Source organism: Homo sapiens, chromosome 5 (genome assembly GCF_000001405.40).
Source record: "Homo sapiens chromosome 5, GRCh38.p14 Primary Assembly".
NCBI lineage: Eukaryota > Metazoa > Chordata > Mammalia > Primates > Hominidae > Homo > Homo sapiens.
The window spans coordinates 6,725,802-6,745,645 of record NC_000005.10 but is presented as its reverse complement, the minus strand read 5'-3'; the positions used below and the strand labels follow the sequence as shown (position 1 = coordinate 6,745,645).

The following is a 19,844-nucleotide window of genomic DNA, read 5'->3' as shown; positions in this document are numbered from 1 at the left end:
AGCAGGCACTGGGCTTGTTCGGAAGTAAACCACTGTCCACCACACCTCCTGAGGGTCATAATTCTCAGCTGTCCAGACCTGCATTGCCCACATGTCTATTTAAATGAATTAAAACAAATTAATTAAAAATCCAGCTTGTTGCTCTCACCAGCCACACTGCAATACTCAGTAGCCACATGTGGCGCCCTGCCCCTTGCCGGACCATGCAGAAGTGGCCATCACCATCACAGAATTCTATCGGACAGTGCCAACTCGAAAGGGATGGACGAGGGCACATGAGAGAAAGCCCTCAGAGAAGCACGGTGCTTGAAACTATTTATAACACAGAGTGCCAGGAGGAGCTGCAGCTAGAAAGCATACAAATGTTTTTAGGGTTCAGAAGAATTCCGGAGTTCTCTGCATATTTCCACCACACAAGAGGAGGATTCCGATTCTGGCCTGACCTTTATTCCCTTCCTTATTCCTTGTCTTTTAGCCAAAATCACATATCCAAGAGCCTGGCCGGTGCCAGGGTGGGCCTCCTCCCCTCACTTAGTCAAGAAACTCAGATGCTGCCACAGTCACACCGCTGAGGCAGGACAAGCTCTGGGCACTGGACAAGGCACAGGGATGTGGCAGTGAACACAGGAATCCCACTCATGCTGTGGTGGCCTCCTGTGGGGTCACAGGATCACTGAAAGGACCCCCTGAGGGGGTGGAGGAGGCCCTGGACCCAGGCCTGGCACATGGCACATGCATGATCAAAGTATTAAGTAGCTGTTGTTACTACAAGGCCATGAAAATAGTGCAAGTCAGGAGTATATCAGTAAAGAACAGAGGCCCATGTTTAATTCAAAATAATGTCCAAAAACTATGGAAGAAAGGCTATATATAAGGGCCACATCTCAGAGGGGAAAGTGAAGACAGGACAGTGTGACTAGAACTGTAAGAAAACAGACATGGAATTCCATTTTCACTACTTTTAAAGCATCTTGGCAGAGACAGACCAAGGAAGCTGCGATCATCACAGGTAGTTACCCAGTGATTCTACTATCATAGCATTCATGACAGTGAGAACATTACCAAATCATGGACAGATTCGGTAATCTCAGCACAATCACAAAGACCAAATTAATGGTAAACACTGGAGAAATACAGCCGTGCGGCTAAATTATATAGGCAAGATTTTGTAAAGGACAGAATTCTTCACTCAAGAAAATATAAACGGAATAATTACTGTTCCAATTAGAGATGATTTTATATGTTTAAAAAGTATAATTACAGTTTATCAATACATCACAGCATTTAACAATACTTTTTAAAACACGTAGGTTTTCTATTGATAGATTTTCCATGTTACTCAGCAAAATAAGGACCACATATAATTTAAGACAAAATAATGATGTTTCATCAGTCTGAGAAAGCTCTCTTGTAAATCCTTTTCTCATATGTGGTACTCAACTTTATTCTGAGACAAATTTTTTTCAATATAAATCACAGACAAGCACCAAGAAATGTTTATTGTTTACCATGAAATGGACATTTCTGAATACAGAGAATTCCCTGAGCTTGGACTGATGTGCACTGGACTCACAGAACCAGACGGGCACCCCTGCACCAACAGTTACACCCAGTACAAAATGAGCATCCAGAAAGGTGCATTAATCAAGAGGGTTTGATTGTAAGAATCAGAAATCAGCCTCTACCAAATTGAAACAATACAGTAAAAGGAGAGCAAAGGCTGCTGGAACCCACTAGGCAACTGGTTGGAAGAGTCTACTCTTACACATGTCTCAACAGAAACAGTCTCAAGAAAGCATACATACCTGTAGAAAGCTAATGGCCATTAAAATTAGGCTGTATGAGCTAATTCCACCTGTAAAAACTTCATTCAGGTCCCTCTGCAGAAGGAACTGTTTCAATACTAAAATCAAGTAAGGCAGCAATGAATATTTCTGTAAATTCCAAAAGAAAAAGATTTACTGAGTAATTACCATACTTTCAAAGAGATTTCACATAGCAAATCACACAAGACAGAAAGGAAAGTTTCCTCGATCCTCTTGCCCATCTGAAGGCTCTCAGTCATTAAGTCTCAAACTTTGGTTGGGGGACGCTAAGAATTAATTTCCTGAGGGGCTTGTGAAAATCGAGACTGTGGAGCTCTCCCTGGGTTACGACTCAGCAGGGGTGCACCCCTACCATGACGAGTCCACAGGCACAAAGGAACTCAGGAAGAGACCAGCGCGTTCACTGGAGTGTTTATGTGCTTGCTACACAGGCCATGAGGACAGTGGGGGCCTCCGGAGCAGGAGAGCAGAGTGAGGCTGGCAAGGAAGGCAGAGCGGCAGGAGATGGCAGGAGGGAGGGAAAGCCTGGCTGCTGCTGTTCGTGTTGCGCTTGGGGTGGACATGCTCCCTCAGACCAGATGACAAGGGGGAAGGGGGAACCTGAAGAGCAAGGCCCTTGAAAATGGAACAAGATGGGACCAGATTGCAGGGGTGGATTTGCCCCTGCTAAGGATTGCAACAGCCTCTACTGCAACAGGAGGTCACGACCACCCGGAGGTGCGTCTGCCCCTGCTAAGGACTGCACGGCCTCTACTGTAACAGGAGGTCATGACCACCCGTTTAAGACCAGGCACATGGTCAGAGTCCCAAACATGTCAGCTCAACCAAGTCTCTCTGCCCATCCTCAGGCACTGAGACCTCCCAAAGTGAGTATATTTAAGGCACCTCATGATTTATCAACTTCCACCTGGGTAAAACCTGCGAATGAGGCACACTGAGCTAGAAGCAAAGTCTGTAATAACTAGAAAGAACATTTTAACAAAGCTCTCTAAAATAATTGTCAACTTTATAAAATGGTTACTCAGGAAAAGCAAATTTTAAAAACAGCTATGTAATTTCAAAGTATCTCTAGAAATAATATTGTAGGAGAAATAATGTAAGTGTAGTCTGTGTTACGAAAGACTTGTGTGTGCAGCTGACAGCTGTAAACATCGTAGGATGCCACCAAGCACAAGCACTCCAGTCCTGCACTCTCGCCGCGCTGGGTCACCAAGCACAGTACCTTCATGTAATTCTTGATGAACTCCGCTGCCCGGACGCCCGTCTCCATGTTAAAGCTGATGTCAACTTTCACTTCAGTCTCCTGATCTGTGAGCTTTATTATTGGTACCTGTAAAGATTTCATTTTAAAAACTGCTTTAACATGCAGGACTCTCCACAGCCAGGCATCAAAATGCTGCCAAAGCTGTACAGAGGTTTGGTGTTTTTTCTTAGTAATGAAAGGGGGTCAGAGAACACTGTCAGCATCAGTAGTCCCTGAACCCAGGACGACTCCCAGGCCCCAGCCCCTCACAGCAGGACCCACATTCTGCCCAGCCCCTGTAGCCCTGGATCAGCACCAGAGGTGACCAAGCATCAAAGAGACGTGAGGGGAGGGAGCCAACAGGGAACAGGAGTTAGTCTCTGCCACGCCCACCCTATGTGCTGGGATGGAGAGAGGTGCTTGGCCCCAGACTTTTATTTGGCAGAATTTTTGAAATCATTTAATGTAACTTCGAAGCCATTTTTTAAATTGTATGTTATACTGATATTGTTTCTCTACTTTGGGTTTTCACTCTTTAAGACAACTTTACTAAAAAAATTTTTCCCCTAAAAAATTCAGCAAATAAAAGGCTATTTTAGAAATATTCTCACCAACAAGAACTGTCACCGAATGGCATTCAAAATCTGCCTGAGCAACTGTCCAGACCACACTCATGCCCCACCCTCCACCCCACCAGTAAAACTGAATTCTTCCAGAAGAAAAGGCAATGTTTTGTTTCCTTCAGCCTTGAAGGATTAAAAAAAGGAATTCCTTTAACCAAAACAATCAGTGTCTAACGAAAAGTTCAAATGCCAGTGATAGGCAACGTAGGGACAGTGCATTCAGTACACACCTATTCTGGGCTTTAATGTCTACACTTGAGGGCAACCAACCAAGGACTCAGCGTGTGAGGACATGCCAGTGGGGCCAGAGTCACCTGGACACCACTGCGACCACCAGGCAGGGTAAGCCCTGAGGCCAGTATGTTCTTAAGAAGGCAGAGAAAGAAATACTTTCCCAAAGAACTCATCAGAAACTGCTTTGGAAGAAGCCAACACTCAATGGCTATGCCTCCCTGACACCCACAGTTTAGGAAGCAGCTTCCTTTCCATCTCATAGACTCCTTCCCACAATCACTCCTGGCACTCTCCTGCCCTACTCTTGCACACACTCACTCACGGCAGGAACCCCAAATCCTGGAGGTGAGGAGTTAACACTGTAACACAGTTTTGGGTTGTTGTTCCAAATAGACAAGATTTCACCTTAAACTCAGCCCTCGCCCTGGGTCTCTTGTGCCCATGACTGGCCGGCTGCACAGTGCTCCCCAGAAATGAGCAGTGGCAGGCTCCAGGCTCTCCCTACAGTCTACACTGGCCCTCAGGTAACAGAGGAAAAGATACTTAGTAGCCAATATGCGACAGTAACGAGGTCACTGGGACTAAGCAGTTACTGTAACTGCTCAACCTACTGTGTGGCCTCAGGACAGCCGCGCCTTAGTTCCTCTACTCCAAAGGTGGTCGCCTGGTCAGGATTCCCACCCACCTCCCCGCTGCCCCTTGGCACACACAGAGGAGCAGCAGACAACAGCGGCCTGGACTATGCCGCTGACCCACCTTGGGCTAATGACCTCACCTCTCCGCATCTCAGTTTCCTCACCTGTAAAATGTGAACAGCAACAGCATCTGCTGATGAGAGTGGCTGGGAGAGCTAAGTGCAATAAGGCCCGTAAGCATTTGAGAAAGTGGCCGGCCAGGGCTTGTCTCGTGCTAATGAGAAGAGCCAACAGCCCCTTCTGGAACCTGGGCCTGGAGGGAACCTCTGGTGCTGCCTGCTCGCTCTGGTCCACATGACAGTGACATGAGCATGTGCACTTCGTTAACTCTCACCAAGAGGTGCACCTGGTACATGTGCACTTTTCAGTGCATATATCATGTTTTAAAACTTGCCCCCAGCCTCAATCAAAAGCACCTGACAATGAGAAACATGTGAATGCCCCCTCCCCTATCACCACACAGGCAGGAGGAAGCTCCTGCCTTAACTTACATTCTGCTAAACACTATAAGGATGTGAATCACACACAAGTTGACACACAAATTTAAAAATGAAATGCTAGCCGGTCGCACAGGTGAGCTAAGAACTGTCATACAACAGGCAAGTACCTCATAGTCCCTGGGGGGCTTATAATCTTGAACTGACATAAACCTTAGCAAGTACACACCAGAAACAGTCTCATCTTCAAACTTCCCCCAAAGATAAAAGGCTTTTCATATATGTATATTTTTTGGAACCACGAAAGGAACAGCTAAGTTGTTCCTCTTTAACATAACATAGCAAATGGTAATCATAAAAACCATGGTTTAATCATTGAGCCACACTCTCCATAATGGGCAGCACCTGAATGTCAGTGTCCGGTTTCAGATGACTCTCCTTTCCTATTCATCCTAACACAAGTAGACACAATCATATATTTTCATTCCAAGAACAGTTTAATGGGCTCACAAGTCCCAAAAGTTCAGACTGTCACTAAACATGTTCTCAGTTGGTGATCACGACTATGAAACAAAAACATAAAACACATGTCTATACCAGAAGCAGATTAATCTTCAAAACTGTAGCCAATAACTGTGTAAAATACCACAAGCTCGTGACGCAGGCGTATCCTGTGACCACCTGGGATGTGACAAGGCTCCTGCCCGGTCAGAGGGGCCAAAGCCAGGCACTCACCGTAGCCTTGTCAAGGACTTTGATGGAACACGGCTCAGCCACGTTGTGCTTCCGCAGGGCTTGCTCCAGCAGCTGTAAAGGAGGACGCTCCCATTTCCCGAAGACCACCAGGTCTATGTCGCTGACAGAAGAAAACGCACGTCAGCCACTGCTCCCCTCGCCACAGCCTACACACTCGTGTGGGGAGGATAAGCACCAAGGCACATGTGCCTGTGTCTCCCACAAAGGCCAAGACACAATCCCACTAGCCTATGGCCCCTAAGGAGGTGAAGTGCAGTTCATGAACTACAGCAAGTCCTCGCTGAACTTAAGGGAAGACTTCCATATTTGTAGCATAAGATGGAAAGCAAGAAGGTTAAATCATTCTCCCAACAGCACTAGGTATGTGAGGGGATTCAAATGAAAATGCCTGCCCCCAAACCAGGCTGAGGCCCCGCTCTCCCAGCACCTACTCCGGCACTGCCTACGCTGGATCACTCCTGCGGACCCAGAGATTCCTGGATACCCAAACCTGTTCAATTACCCACTGGCCCTGCTAATGTCAACCCCCAAATCCTGAGATTATAGCCTCTTCGGCCTCCAAATGCTAACTAGCAGTGGGTTAATAGAAGGTAAGCTTTTAATGAGACAGTGCACAGGAAATTTATTTGGCTATCAAGAATCCTTAATGAGAAAATACTAGTTTGTATTTTAGAATGCAAACTTGTTTGACATTTTCCTATCAGGTAAAAATACTTAGAAAATACTATTTAAAGAGAATTTTGCTTGAATCTTCATCAAAACATAAGATCAATTTTTCAAACACATGTCCTAAAATATCAGCAGAATGTCTTCTATTGCGTTTACTTCCCACAGTCCTCCCACCTGTCTTCTTCATATTTCCAGCATGAAGCATTTTTGCACCCCAACAAATTAAGTGTGAGAGGAAAAATGCAAAGCAATGAATTCATCATAACACTAAATTAAATCTTTCTGCCAATTTCCCTCTGTAACCACAGTCTTTTCCTTTAGCTGGCATTTCTCGCCTTAGACTCAATTACAAAGAATCTATTTGTAGCCCTTAATATTGCATAGACACCATCCCAGCCCCCCACTAGCCCATGCCATGCAGTCTGGTACTCACCTAGTTGGAAGATAAAGACCTGTACTAAAGCTGCCAAATATCTGTACCTGAAAGAAAGAGTGGTTGCCTTAAAATGTATACCACAAACCAAGCAGTCACACTACCATTATTTCTTACTAAAAGAAAGCCCTCACTATACCCTTGGGTAAAAAATAAAACTACCTTGGAAACTGATGGAGGGGACCGTATAACAATCAACCAGAAAATTCCCTTTAAGTTAAAGACATGCCCAAAAAAGGAATGTTTAAAAACTCAAAATTAAGAGGTGAAACAAGTTTTGTCCTCACCCTATAACCCTTCAAAGCTGAGGACTTTTCAGAGCTAGCTTCAAACCCTTCAACCTCTTCTTAAACCCACAGCTAAGGCACTGGGGCAGGGCTTTGTCCTAGGACTCTGAAGTTTAAAGCCAAAAATCTGTATCATTTTAAAAGAGGCGCAGAAAACTGGGTTGCCCTTGCCCACCAAGAGCACACATGCCCCTCACAGCTGGGGCACGGCCAGCCCTGCTGGTCCACTGAGCCCAGTCAGCAGTAGGGAAGGCTGCTGAATAGAGCCGGCCAGGGGCAGGCTTCACGCCACCTGCACCAAGCATTCCAGAAGGCCCCACTCCACATGTCAAAAAACACTTGTTCCTTCACTGCAAGAGTGGTGTGTGATGAGGGAACACTTCCAAGTTTTACAAAAATGAGCACATTATATGCTACTATGTGTGGTGGTGGGGAAGCAGGGGTGGGTGACAGGGTGAAATTTCTAAATTTTAAGGTGAACTTAAGAGAAACAATCACACCATTCTCCCCCTTCCAAAAAAAAAAAAAAAAAACCCAACAAATCCCTCAGCCGATGGTCTTCGCACTTGAGTGCGCGCCAGCATCACGAAGATGTGCGGCCACCGCAGGTGTCTAAGACAGCAGGTGCAGGTGCGCCGGGGGCCATGCATTCCAGGCAACGGAGGCCTTCTCAAAGCACACTTGGAGAACTGCTGCCTCGGGCCAACGAGAAAAGGTCTGTGTGGATCTAGCCGACACATCATCATCACAGGGTATTTAAATTTACTCGCACGTGACGTGCGACACAGAACTCCAAAGAACATACTCACATCAGCCGTCGGCCAAAGGTCTTTCACCACAGTTTCGATCCGTTTCACCACCTCTCTTCTCATAGCTGCTTCTTCAGGACAAGGGGACATGAAGTTATAAAAGTCAATTATTTCCTCATGTAGTCTAATGGACAAAAAAGAAAACATACTAGAGTTACAATGAAATGTCACCACATTTTCTGTTCTGTTCTTACATCAGGATGACGCTCAAACATATTTCTGGCCACGAAATTCAGTTTCATTTCTCCTCTGAAAGTATAAAATGAAAACTCTGTGCTCAACAAACTTACACAGTATGACTTAGCAACACTAAACAACTGAACTTTGTCAATACCAAGTATCAATAAATGTATAACTGGCCTTTAAAGACTTCTCCAAAAAAATCATCTCAGTGACTTTATATTGAAAAAATGAGAGAATTCCATCCAGGAAGTGTGAAAGCAGCTTTCCAATGAATGTGGCACAGTTAGGCACACTTCTGAGGCTGGGAACCAGCTCCAGCACAGGCCCCAAGGCCCCATGGGCACCTCCCTGAGTGCCTCACGCTAAGGAGCATGGGAGGGACTGAGAATGGGCCAAGGTGTGGGGAAGGAACATGTGAACAGGAAAAAGACGTATGAGTCCTCAGGGGCCCCGCGGCCCAGGTCTGCCCAAGCTACCTGGTGACCATCCACTAAATCCTGGTTTCATCCGCCACAGTCTCAGCAGAGAGAAACAGGGTCCCTGGAGGCAGAAAAGCTGATCGAATTCAATACTCAAGTATTCTCTCCTTAAGAGGCCAACAAGGAGGTCAACACCCAAATGCCTGTGGGACAGGAGTAAGTAGGGCCTCTCTCTCTTAACAAAGCTCTAAAGCAGTGTTTTCAAGCACCATGAGCAAGGCCTGGAAGACGCCTCACGCCGCCACCTCAAAGGTGCTGATCTCCTGTCACCCCATGGGCTCCAAGAGCTGAGGTCAGCCCTGTGGCCAGTGGCACCAGCCTATGTCATGAGTTAAGGCTGAGGCCTACACAGATGACTGCAGGAAAAGTGCTGTCGTCCTCTTTTCCTTTAAGGGATTAATTAAAGATGGAGAGAGGGGAAGGCAAATTATCCAATCCTAGGAATTATAACAAATCAAACTCACCTGCTTCCATTCTATGACTCCTAGGAATTATAACAAATCAAACTCGCCTGTTTCCATTCTGTTTCATAAATAAGGCAAACAGCAGAAGACAAAACAGGGCCAACGAACAGCTGGCAAAGTGGAAGCAAGTAGCACCTCTTACAGGACCTGCCAGGGGTGAGTACAAAGGTGAGTGGCCCTGCATCAGCCTACAGTTTGGCTCTTGTGTAAGGTTAATTTCAACTGTCAGTCACCTAAAGTATTGCCACTTCCCACCCCGCCAAAAGAGTCATTTGGAGTACGCATTCCAAGCCGTCCACAGAGGGCTTAAGGCTAGGCTACAAGCACACACGAGAGACTCCAGGAGCAGCAAATAAATGCTGTGCACGCTTGCTCATGAAGCACCTGCAAATCAGGCCATGCCTGCAGCCTAATTTTATGTATCACATTTAATTTAAAAAAATATGTGGCCAGATGCGGTGGCTCACGCCTGTAATCCCAGCACTTTGGGAGGCTGAGGTGGATGGATCACAAGTTCAGGAGATCAAGACCATCCTGACTAAAATGGTGAAACCCCATCTCTGCTAAAAATAGAAAAAAATTAGCCAGGCGTGGTGGCACATGCTTGTAGTCCCAGCTACTCAGAAAACTGAGGCAGGAGAATCGCTTGAACCCAGGAGGCAGAGGCTGCAGTGGGCCGAGATTGCACCACTGTACTCCAGCCTGGGCGACAGAGCAAGACTCTGTCTCACCAAAAAAAAAAAAAAAAGTAAGAAAAAACCTCACCCCAAGCATGGTCCCAATTCAGACAGCCACCAGTCCAGCTGTTAACAGAGCCCAACATTAAAATATTTTTTCCAAACTGATCAAACTACAAGAGCTTTGAAGTAAAGCTTCTATCTTTTCAACAATTACTGAGCACCAACTACACACTTTTCTACCAGCTCAGTAGGCCACTTTAAAGTCTGAGGTGTTACCTAAAATTTCCTACCACTTAGTAATGTAAGCAGGACTAGATATGTCACGTTAGCAGGTTAACATCCACCCCAGGGAAGAGCCACAGGCCAGCCTCTCTCCATCAGGAAGAACGTCTGGGTGGATCCCTTCACCTTCACCAGTCACTATCACTGTCACTGCAGAGAGCTAGGGACAGTCCTAGGCTATCCATGAGAACAGCACTGGCAAGTCTGTCCACCTAAACCACTACACCATGTGGCCTACTGCACCTCACAGTCCTGTTCTGAGGATAATAACAGGAGTAGAGAAATTTAGAGATTCTAACAAAGATGCAGGCTTGGAATTATTAAATAATTGGCCCAAAGTCATGGAAGAATGCCAAAGCTAGGATACTAAAATTCTATCCACATCCCCCAGATTTAACTCATTAAAGCATATTGTAAACAGGGCATTCCAATTTGTCAAAATGGCACTCCACATTTCCACCTGCAGAGTAGAATGTACTGTCAACTTTAAGTTCTACCTGAAGTAACGGCAACATCAAATAGCTTTCAGGACCTGTGCAGCCACATTCACCACCCTCAGGGGCATCCCCTACTATCAAGAGATGCTCAACACTCCAGGAAAGGAAGAGCACGGAGATAACACCTGCTGCAGTCTGCCTTAGACACACAAAATCAGCGTAACATGGCATCCGTTTTTGTCAAATGTCTGTTCCCTTGCACAGGGAGAAGAGGGGGTGGCCTGGTATTCCTCCCCTAAATCAGGAGAGATTAATGGCGAGGCATGGCCTGCCCATGCTCCTAGCAGAAGTGGTGCTCAGGGGAACACTGTCCTCCTGACCTTGGCATTGTGTCCAAACAGTAAGCTGCACTAATAACCACACCTGTCTGAAATCTGTAATAAAATGCACCTAAAAGTGAGCAACTGCTGTAACAAATATTAGATAATAAGAGACAGGAATAATTTTGTTTTGCCTTCTCAGAATAGAATGGAAACTGCCGGGGGCCCGGCCATCCATGCCTCTTGGATGACGGAGTCAGACAAGAAGGCTCTGGCGAAGTGCCCCACTGGCCCTTCTTCAAGGAGAGCAGGGACCAGCAAGGTGCCGCACGACTCCAGGACTGCCCACGAGGCAGTGTGAGACTGGTGGCGGCCGTGGGACAGTGCCAACCATCATCATTACATCCTCTGGGCTGGCCTGAAAAGCCCCCAGCCTGCCTTCTGCTTGGCTCTTTGTGAGGCCCTCAGAGGGCGAGGGTTGGGGGCCAGGCAGCAAGGCGGAACACTGACCAAACTGAGAAAAAGTGCACAGTAAGAGTAGCCCAACAAAACCCACGTGAGGGCACCGCCCAGCCGTGCCCACCCAGCGGCCTCCCTGGCCCTTCGGCCTCCCTGCAACCGCATGACTCTGGAGGCCATCTGTGGATGGACGCAACAGCGCACTGCTCCGTCTCCGGTGCCCAGAACAGCGCTTGCCTGTGCATGGAATCAATCAATCAAGTTTTGCTAAGATATTTTGCTGACCTTGTCATTGCTGATGTACACTCTCTACGACATCTAAAATTAACATTCTGAAAATATTTTACCTCTGCAATGAATAATTTGATTTGTTAGCAGAAACCATTTAAATCGCCAACTATCCCTTTAAAAATGTAAACATTTTTACATTTTTTGGATTATCTCATTCAATACTAACACTGCCAGGACTTTTCACTGCCTTAGGAAGCTGTGCACATACCTTCACAGATAAGCCCTGCCGACCACAGGCCACGCCGCCAGCGCAAACTACAACATACCTCCTTTACTCATCTATGACTTCAAATACTGAATATGCCCGCTGGTTCAATTCTCCAAAAAGTCTGCCACAGAAGTACATCAATGAAAAGTTTTAATCATTTCTCCTCAACAAAATAGAAATAAGTTTAGTCTTATGTTCTCACATACCAAACCTCCAGGGAATTTACAGCTGGCAGGACGTCTGCATAAAAACCACACTAAAGTCTCCTATCCACAGACCCGTCATCAATATCTTTTAAAGCTCAATTTCAGTTCTGCTCACTAGTGTTCAGTCTCCAAATCGAAGAAATTTCTATGCATTGATCATAATAGAATAAATCCCTCTACAGTGGATCACAAAGGTGGCATCTCAGAACCAGGAGGACACAGTGAGAGCCCTAGGCAGCCCTGGGGCCCTGCTGCCCCCCAGGCATGCCATCATTCCCCTCCCCATGAGAAAGGCTGGCGGCACGCCGGGAAGCAGTGCCAGCCAAGAGGCGGCCTGACCATCCTCCCCTGCAGCCTCAGGCGGCCAGTGAGACCTGGGAAGTGCCTGGGAGGGCTTTCCCAGGAGGCTTCTTAGGGAGGAGTTGGCACACAGCCCTCTGGCCTCACCCCCTACTCCTGACACATTAGGCTGGCACTCTCCAGCTTGGGGCTGTGAGTGGCCCAGGAAACTCCTATATGATACACATCTCATTCTCAGCTGAGGAGCTAAACGGACAAACTGAGGTGGGGCCAAAGGACACAACGCCAGGAACACTGCCCCCAGAACCGGAAGCAGAGCTTCCAACTGCTCCGTGGTGACTTCTAGCCTCGTCTTAGATTCTGTCACCATTTTGAGTTGGCTGTGGTGTAGAAAAGAAGTAGGATCTATAAATGAAGCAAGCCTCTGATGCTTGTCTCTGTGAAGTGAAATCCTGGGACATTAGCAAGGCTCCAGCCCCACAGAGAGCAGGGTCAGCTTCCCGATCCATTGCCACGGAGCAAACTCTTAATGATTCATTTCCTAGTTATCTTAAGAAAAAAGGAAATGGTGACAGCAGAGGTTTTTTTTAGTGAATTTTTATTTTAGTCAGGAAACTACTCGAAAACAGAATTCTGAAGCATTATTTCCTAGTGTGCTTTACTAAAAATTAGAGAATAAAGTTCATTGAAAAACAACAAAAGATCACTCTCGTTTACAATCACTGCCTTGCAAGAGTCCAAACCCATCGAAAGGTAATGACTGACTTCTCAATTTAGTAAATTCCCGATTTTCTGCTTTTAGTACTGAAAAGCAAGATCAGCAATGTTTTTGTATTTTAGTATCTGGTATATGCTTGCTGTATGTATTTATGAGACCCAACTTACTGAGCTATTTTAAGAGCAAAAGAAGGATCCTACAGTTAGAGAACAAAACTATATTATTCCATAGCTAATAAAGCTATTGATGACAACAGGTGACCCATTTAGGGGACGATTTTCAGCTTTAGAAGCTGAGCTAATGGGATTAACTGGTTTTCAAGCTTGTAAATGTGAATTAAAGCCAAAGCCAGGGAGGACTGGCTGGTTTTGAAGCTGGGGCCAAAGAGGTGAAGCAAGCCCACCCGTGCACTGCCTCACCCAGGCAGGCGCTTTGTATCTCTCCCAGGGCAGAGCTGGCTCCTCCCCCATCTCAGCCCCAAGGCTCTGCCCTGCCTTCCCCAAAAGTCACAATTTCTAAGTTGTTCAAAGGTGACTTCTTTGTAGTCAACCCAAGGACAGGCAGCTGCACTGCAGTAGGTAAAGGGCAAAGGAACTAAAGGGCAAAAAAGGCAAAGGTCATAGCCCAGAAGCCAGGACAGCGTATGTAAAATAAAACACTTTAGAAAGAACAGTGGGGCTGGAAGAAGCACACCAAACACTTCATAACGCAGGTCTCTGGGTGGGGAACATACAGGAACATACTATGGGCTTGTCTAGGACATTCTCCTAGACTTTAAATCCAGTAGCTTCTTTTAAGCAAAGTGATGGTCAAAGGTCAGATTTCACTGGATGTTTAAGGGAAAGGAAACGTCACGAAAATGAACATGCCCTCCTCCTCCAATCTGGTTACAAGAAGTTTCAAGCCAGGAGTTTTGGCCCAGGCCTGCAGTCCAGCTAGTCAGGAGGCTGATGTGGGAGGATAGGCTGACAGCCCAGGATTCGAAGCTACAGTGAGTGGTGATTACACCACTGCACTCTAGTCTGGGCAACAGTGCAAGACCCCATCTCAAAAAAAAAAAAAAAGTTTCAGCACCTTAAACCCACTGAATATGAGGACCTGCACTCTGAAGAACAGGTGCTTCCAGTCTTCCCAACTCACTGAAATTTCCCAACTCTCAACACTCAGGTCTACAGTTCTGTCCATGTTAATTATGTGCCTCAGTTTACCTTTAACACCCCGTTAATCTCATCAATCCTGAATTCTAGGGAAAAAGTGATTTGACAAACTGCATGTGAGTTCAGTTCCCAGTCTTTTCCATTACAACGTAAAATGCGACAGAAAATACTGGAAACTCATTAACTGTGAATTTATTCTCTTCCTCTCCTCCTCCAACTCTTCCTTCAAAACCCTTAAAACTAGTGGTTTCTCAGAAATCGAAGTTCCCTCACTTCAGCTCCACAATGTTCACTATGCATTTTTGCCCAAAAAAACAATACCTTAGTGAAAATATTTGGAGTTAACCCTGCAATTTTGTAGATTTTATAACATGCTTTGATACGATTACACCAAAACAACAACTGATTCAGACACTACTACATCGCACTGATAGGGTCTGGATTAATATTTAACTTTAACTAGGAAGAGTGGGTTGTAAGCAAATCACAAGTAAAGCATAATGAGGGAATGACTGCATTGCTTCTATTTTGAGGGATCAATGATCCTCTTTAAAGTATCCATTTACTGATACAGTTAATAAGCTAATTATAAATCATTTTTATTTATTTTTGATTATGTTACAAGGCAACTAATACCTGCACAAATTAGAAAACTCAGAAGCAGGACTTCAAGGCTTTTTTTTTTTTTTTTTTTAAATTAAGGCTCGAAAGAAGGAAAAGGACTGAAACTATAAATGAAACCCTTCATGTTTCTAGGGCTGCCAGTCAGCTGCTTTTAGTGCCTGCCTCAGTTCCGCCCACTCTGGGCAGGGAGGGACCTATCGATGTGCCTATCTTTCTACACAGGGGCTGTGAATGAAGCTGCAGGCTCACGTGTAAGGGGAAGGCCAGGCAAGGACCCAGGACAGTCTGCTGCAGAGGAAAGGGGCACCTGACAGCTACCGACAGAGGAGGAGGGCGCACTCCCCTGGAGGAGGAGCAGGAGCTGTGAGCCTCCTGAGACAGCCAATGCTAACTCGGTGAAAAAGGTTAAGACCGACTAACATTCACAAAACAGCCAAGGCATAAGGGCTCTGCAGCTTAGGAATCAATGCGGAACTCAGATCTACATGAATTCCACTCAGCAAATGTAAGCCTTTTTTCCCCTTCCCTCCCACATCTCTCCTGGGATGAGCCACATAGGATCCTGGAGCAGGTGATGTCCCAGGGCCAGTCAGAACCTCACCGGAGTGTGAGCAGAGGTGCCTTTGTGGGTGCTGGGGGGTGCAACACTTTCACCCTAGTAAAGCAAACCCAAGCACGCTGCAAATGCTGCAAATGCCATGCAAGGTCCTGGGGCCACTCCGGGGGGGGGCGGAGAAACAACATTATCTTCTCTTCCCCTCAGAACAGAAAGTAAGAAAGGGCTTAGGTACCAGAAGCCTGTAATAATTAAGCTACAGAAAAAATACTTAACTTGGGAATCTGCATTGGTTCTAAGCCCACTGCTAAAGAAGAAAATGAGGCACCAGACCAGGATGAAGCCCTGCCATCTCACAAACTGAGTGGGCAGATACTCCAGCAGTGGGGCCAGAACTACTCAGAACCACCCCACACCACAGGTACCACCCGGAGCAAACCCAGGGGAGGCACCCCACCTGCTTAACATGTCCTCAACCCAGCTCAGCACACACACACAAAAAAACCACCAAGGGGTTCAGTCTCCTAATACTGGAGTCTGAAACAACCCACAGTGCAATCAAGGGCCCACAGACTCTGAAAGAGATTAAGGAGAGGCCAAGAAGGCACTTCCTGAGCCACATCTGCTGGCTCCGATCCACCTGCCACCCAGCCTGGCAGTGCAGCCACAGCACAACTGCTGACTACCGCAGGGCAGCTCTGGGTGCTCCGAGGGAACCGCGCCTGCTGTGAAACTGCGTGACTGCGCCTGGAAGCTAGTGCAAGCCTTGCTTGCTAGCTCAAGCAGCTGATCACTTTTGAAATGAAAACAGCTATACTTTCTGTTGTCTTTCCAGATATCCTTACACTGGATGAAAGATAAGTGAGCATCATCTTTTGGGGCAACAATACAGAATAAAAGCCAAGAGGCTAAAAACATTAATATCCTGGGACACTACACAATATCCACATTACTAACATTTGCACTAGATCCTCCCAAATAATAGTCTTTGAGGCAAATATTACTATTTTCATTTTGTAGATGACAAAACTAAGTATTCATTAGACATATGGTAACTGGCCCAAGACCATACACAACCAGGACTGAAGTCTTCATCTTGAAGTCTGAGCCACTGAGCTGGAAGCCACACTCAGGAAGGAACCCAACACAGAAACAGGCCAGTCCTTTCCTAAAGAGTGAAAAGATGTAAATATAACTCCAATTATTCAGAAAATTGTGTACATCTATCTATACAATATTTTAAAGTTGTTTAAAAGAGCTTTTTAAGGACAGGAGGAAATGCTTACCTAGCATTTTTTTAAAATACGAAATGATACATTTGCTACATATTTAAAGCACCATTAAAAGTGACAAGAAATATGCTCAAATGTTAACAATGGAAAAATTATAGGTAGTTTCTGTATTTTCCAAATTTTCTTCAATAAGTCATCATTGCTTTTATAATCCTAATAAAGGAAATGTAATAATTTCAGTTTTACTAATTCATACTGCAAGGGTCAAAGAGCAGACATCACTGTGCCCGTCTTAAGTCTTCTGTAAGAATCTGGTATCCCCCAGCCTTTACACTAAAGTCACACCAGCAGGGGCTCCCTCTGGGCTCTGCCGCCCAGCACCACAGGCCCTCATGCTGCTGACGCTGTGTCAGCTCCTAGCCCCGCATGGCTAAAAGGCCCCTGCGGCCATGAAGTTCTGGGTCTGGTTTAGAAAGTTATCCCATACCCTAGACTGCAGCAGTACACGTCCCTGCCCTGCCAAAGGCAAGGCCCCTGAAAAAGCTATCCTACAAGTCCGAAAACCCTCCAGATGAGCTTTGTGAGGAAGGCGTTCTCCCAAGTGCCCCAACCACACCAGTAAGGCCAACCAGGCTCTCTCCATCATGCCAGCTCTCAGAGGCACCGCTGCCAGGGGGCTGTGCTGAGTGGAATTCTGAGGCTACATTACATAGCCTTAGTAAAAAAAACTGTTACTATTCATTGGTGATGAATACTCATTAGCTGACATTCACCATCTTCCTGCTGTGACCAGACACTCACTGTATGACATGCTTCACTGAGTCTGATGAAACCGCCGTCACCCCATTCTACAGACAGCTCAGAGGCAAAGCACCTGCCTACACCTCACGGGCGCCGTGAGACCCCAGGCAGCAGCTGCAGCTCTGCAGCCCCTGCCCTCCGTACAGTCAACCCCTTGAGGCCCCCGCCAAGATGACAGAAAACAACTATTCGAGAAAGGACTATACAAAAGGCTGGAAATCACCAATTACACAAAGTAAGTATGAGCGAGTGAGAGAGAGGGAGACAGAGAAAAGAACTCACTGGATCCAAAGATGTAAGCCAATATTAAAGCACAGCAAGCAGATGGGATTCGTGGTCTGCAGCTATTTACCGTGAGCCTCTGCACAGCATACCCTGGCTGATACAGACAGCAGAGCTGTGGGCAGGATGATGAGATGTGGCCCCTACTCTCACTGAGTTTATATGGGAGGGACAGGGGGCATGATGGGGAAGATAAGTAGCCAAAATAAACCAAAAAGTTGCTATGCAGAAATTTAAACTGGCAACCACGGCTGTGAACTTTAGGTTGGTCAGGGAGAGCCTCCCTGATACCAAGTGGCTGGTACTGAGGCTGAGATGGGAAAGGTAACGAGCAGCCAGTTACGGAAAGACAAGGGGACAGCACTCTGGCACAATGGACAGCAGGACAGGGCCCCCAGGTGGGATGGACTAAGAGGGCACCAAAGGCACCAGCACAGCCCAAGCAGCGGAGTCTAAGACCAGGCCTGAGTGTACCCGTCTCCATGGGCCAGCTACAGAGCAGAGAGTCCGAAGCCTGGAGGAGATTCAAGATGGACCTAAAGGACCAAGCCCTCAGAAGGTCAGGATGCAGAGCCCAGGTGCCAGCAAAGGCCCCACTGCCTCCTGCTGAGACGCCAGGCCCTCGGCCTGCATGCAGCCTGGAAGGGGAGAAGGTCCCAGGGGCAAGGTGGGAGGGGTTTTGGTGAGCAACATTAGGAAGGGCTTGGGTGAGCGACATCCATGGCATGCCAGCTGTGTGAGGGCAACACAGTGGAAAAGGGAAGGGAAGAGGGAGCCCAGCACGGAAGATCACAGGAGCCAGGGATCAGAAAGGAAGCCCAGGATGCCCTGCTCCACAGAAACACCGAGTAAGGACACATCGAGAAAGCACAGGGTGGATGGCGACAAGGAGTGGAACAAGAGCGAAGAAGCAACTGCACTAGGGTGGTGAGCTGGGGATCAAGGTAGGCAGAGCCCATGTACTAAGAGAGCTAAGGTCTCTGGGAGGCTGGGCCAAGCAAGACAGACACTCCCACCCACAGGAAGATGGGACCGGTAACAAAGTATCCAAGACTCAAGAGAAAACCCCCCGCCACGCTAAGGCCGACCTCAGTCTATATCCGGATCCTCAAGCAAGCAACTGAGACAGCAGTTGGGCGCAGGAGGGAGGGCGCTGAGGACAGCTGGGCAATCAAAGGCAACTGCCCATCCCTGGGGACTGGGTCTCACCTCTGATTCCACACAACCCTCCAAGCCAGAGAGGACAGGCAACGCACGTGGGTTCTGAAGCAAGGAGGGGCCCAGTCACCTGAGACCCAGGCACATGGCAGATTCAAGGAGAGTGCTCCCAATCAGCTATTTGGGACCCTGACCATTCAACACACACGACAAAAAGGCACCAACAGTGGCTCCTATCTGCAAACGCGGTAGAGGACAGTGGATGCCAGGTCAAGGTGGCACGGCACAAGTCACAGACAGAGGACACTGTAGGATGCCCTGCAGGACCACAGGACTGAGCTGACCAGAGGCAACGCAGGGGGCGTCGCCTCAAAGAAACTCACCAGAAGCATGAACCACATTAGGAACTTAGAAATCTCAGGCAGCAGTCCCGGGAAGCCTCCTGATGATGAGCATGAGGTCTGTGGAATATGCTGCAAATCGTGGTTTCCCAGGCAGAGACGAGACTGCAGACCCTTCAGGAGCCTGAAGTGCCTGAGGTCAGATCGCGTCCCAAGTACAACACAGGGACGCAGCTCCCCCTACATGGTGCTGTCATGAAGACTTAATAAATCCACACTGGCAAGTGCTTAGCACAGGGCCTGGCCCTCGGTAAGGGTTCGGTGCAACAGTGGTCATAACTACAAACAAACTACAGAGGTTGAAAATTCACGGACACAAACACCACCACTGGGCACCAGAGGAGGGAGAAACAAAGGCTGAGCCTCCAACCTACACAGCCCAAGCAAACCAAGACTTCATCAAAGCTTTTACTCTGACGTTGCTGCACTTAGCCACTTAAGGTTTTCATCATGTTTTATGCTCTTAGTCTCAGCAGTATCTCTTAGAAACTAGTATTTCCAACTGAAGTTGGACACCTTTCCCTTTCAAGCAAAATTAATAATTTGGCAAATTTATGTAAAGATAAGACTTTTAATAAAAGTATTTCTACTGAC

General features: G+C 46.9%; 1 protein-coding gene across 8 annotated transcripts in view, besides 4 other annotated features; it reads right to left on the bottom strand.

The window, feature by feature from the left end:
* The window catches only part of TENT4A (terminal nucleotidyltransferase 4A), a 43,613-nt gene that overhangs the window by 11,399 nt on the left and 12,370 nt on the right, over positions 1 to 19,844 (bottom strand). For 4 of the 8 annotated variants that reach the window (NM_006999.6, NM_001171805.3, XM_047416666.1 and 1 more), the window contains exons 2-6: positions 8,013 to 8,136; positions 6,917 to 6,963; positions 5,794 to 5,914; positions 3,049 to 3,156; positions 1,806 to 1,934 (exon numbers count right to left, since the gene is read on the bottom strand). In NM_006999.6, coding sequence (NP_008930.2) covers positions 1,806 to 1,934; positions 3,049 to 3,156; positions 5,794 to 5,914; positions 6,917 to 6,963; positions 8,013 to 8,136 — 529 coding nt within the window. Of the gene's footprint in view, positions 1 to 1,805; positions 1,935 to 3,048; positions 3,157 to 5,793; positions 5,915 to 6,916; positions 6,964 to 8,012; positions 8,137 to 8,206; positions 19,842 to 19,844 lie in introns of those variants that run through there. The other 4 variants (XM_017008988.3, XM_047416668.1, XM_047416667.1 and 1 more) reach the window with 3 other exon arrangements.
* Positions 8,021 to 8,360: an enhancer, noted in NCBI's record as "active region_22342". NCBI's record gives its function as "activates an Ori minimal core promoter by ATAC-STARR-seq in GM12878 lymphoblastoid cells {active_cell/tissue: GM12878}" and the evidence as "EXISTENCE:reporter gene assay evidence [ECO:0000049][PMID:35858748]".
* Positions 8,401 to 8,540: an enhancer, noted in NCBI's record as "active region_22341". NCBI's record gives its function as "activates an Ori minimal core promoter by ATAC-STARR-seq in GM12878 lymphoblastoid cells {active_cell/tissue: GM12878}" and the evidence as "EXISTENCE:reporter gene assay evidence [ECO:0000049][PMID:35858748]".
* Positions 8,721 to 8,890: an enhancer, noted in NCBI's record as "active region_22340". NCBI's record gives its function as "activates an Ori minimal core promoter by ATAC-STARR-seq in GM12878 lymphoblastoid cells {active_cell/tissue: GM12878}" and the evidence as "EXISTENCE:reporter gene assay evidence [ECO:0000049][PMID:35858748]".
* Positions 18,732 to 19,534: an enhancer, noted in NCBI's record as "H3K27ac-H3K4me1 hESC enhancer chr5:6726225-6727027 (GRCh37/hg19 assembly coordinates)". NCBI's record gives its function as "activates a minimal SCP1, AML or CMV promoter by ChIP-STARR-seq in primed H9 embryonic stem cells {active_cell/tissue: H9 hESC(primed)}" and the evidence as "EXISTENCE:reporter gene assay evidence [ECO:0000049][PMID:30033119]".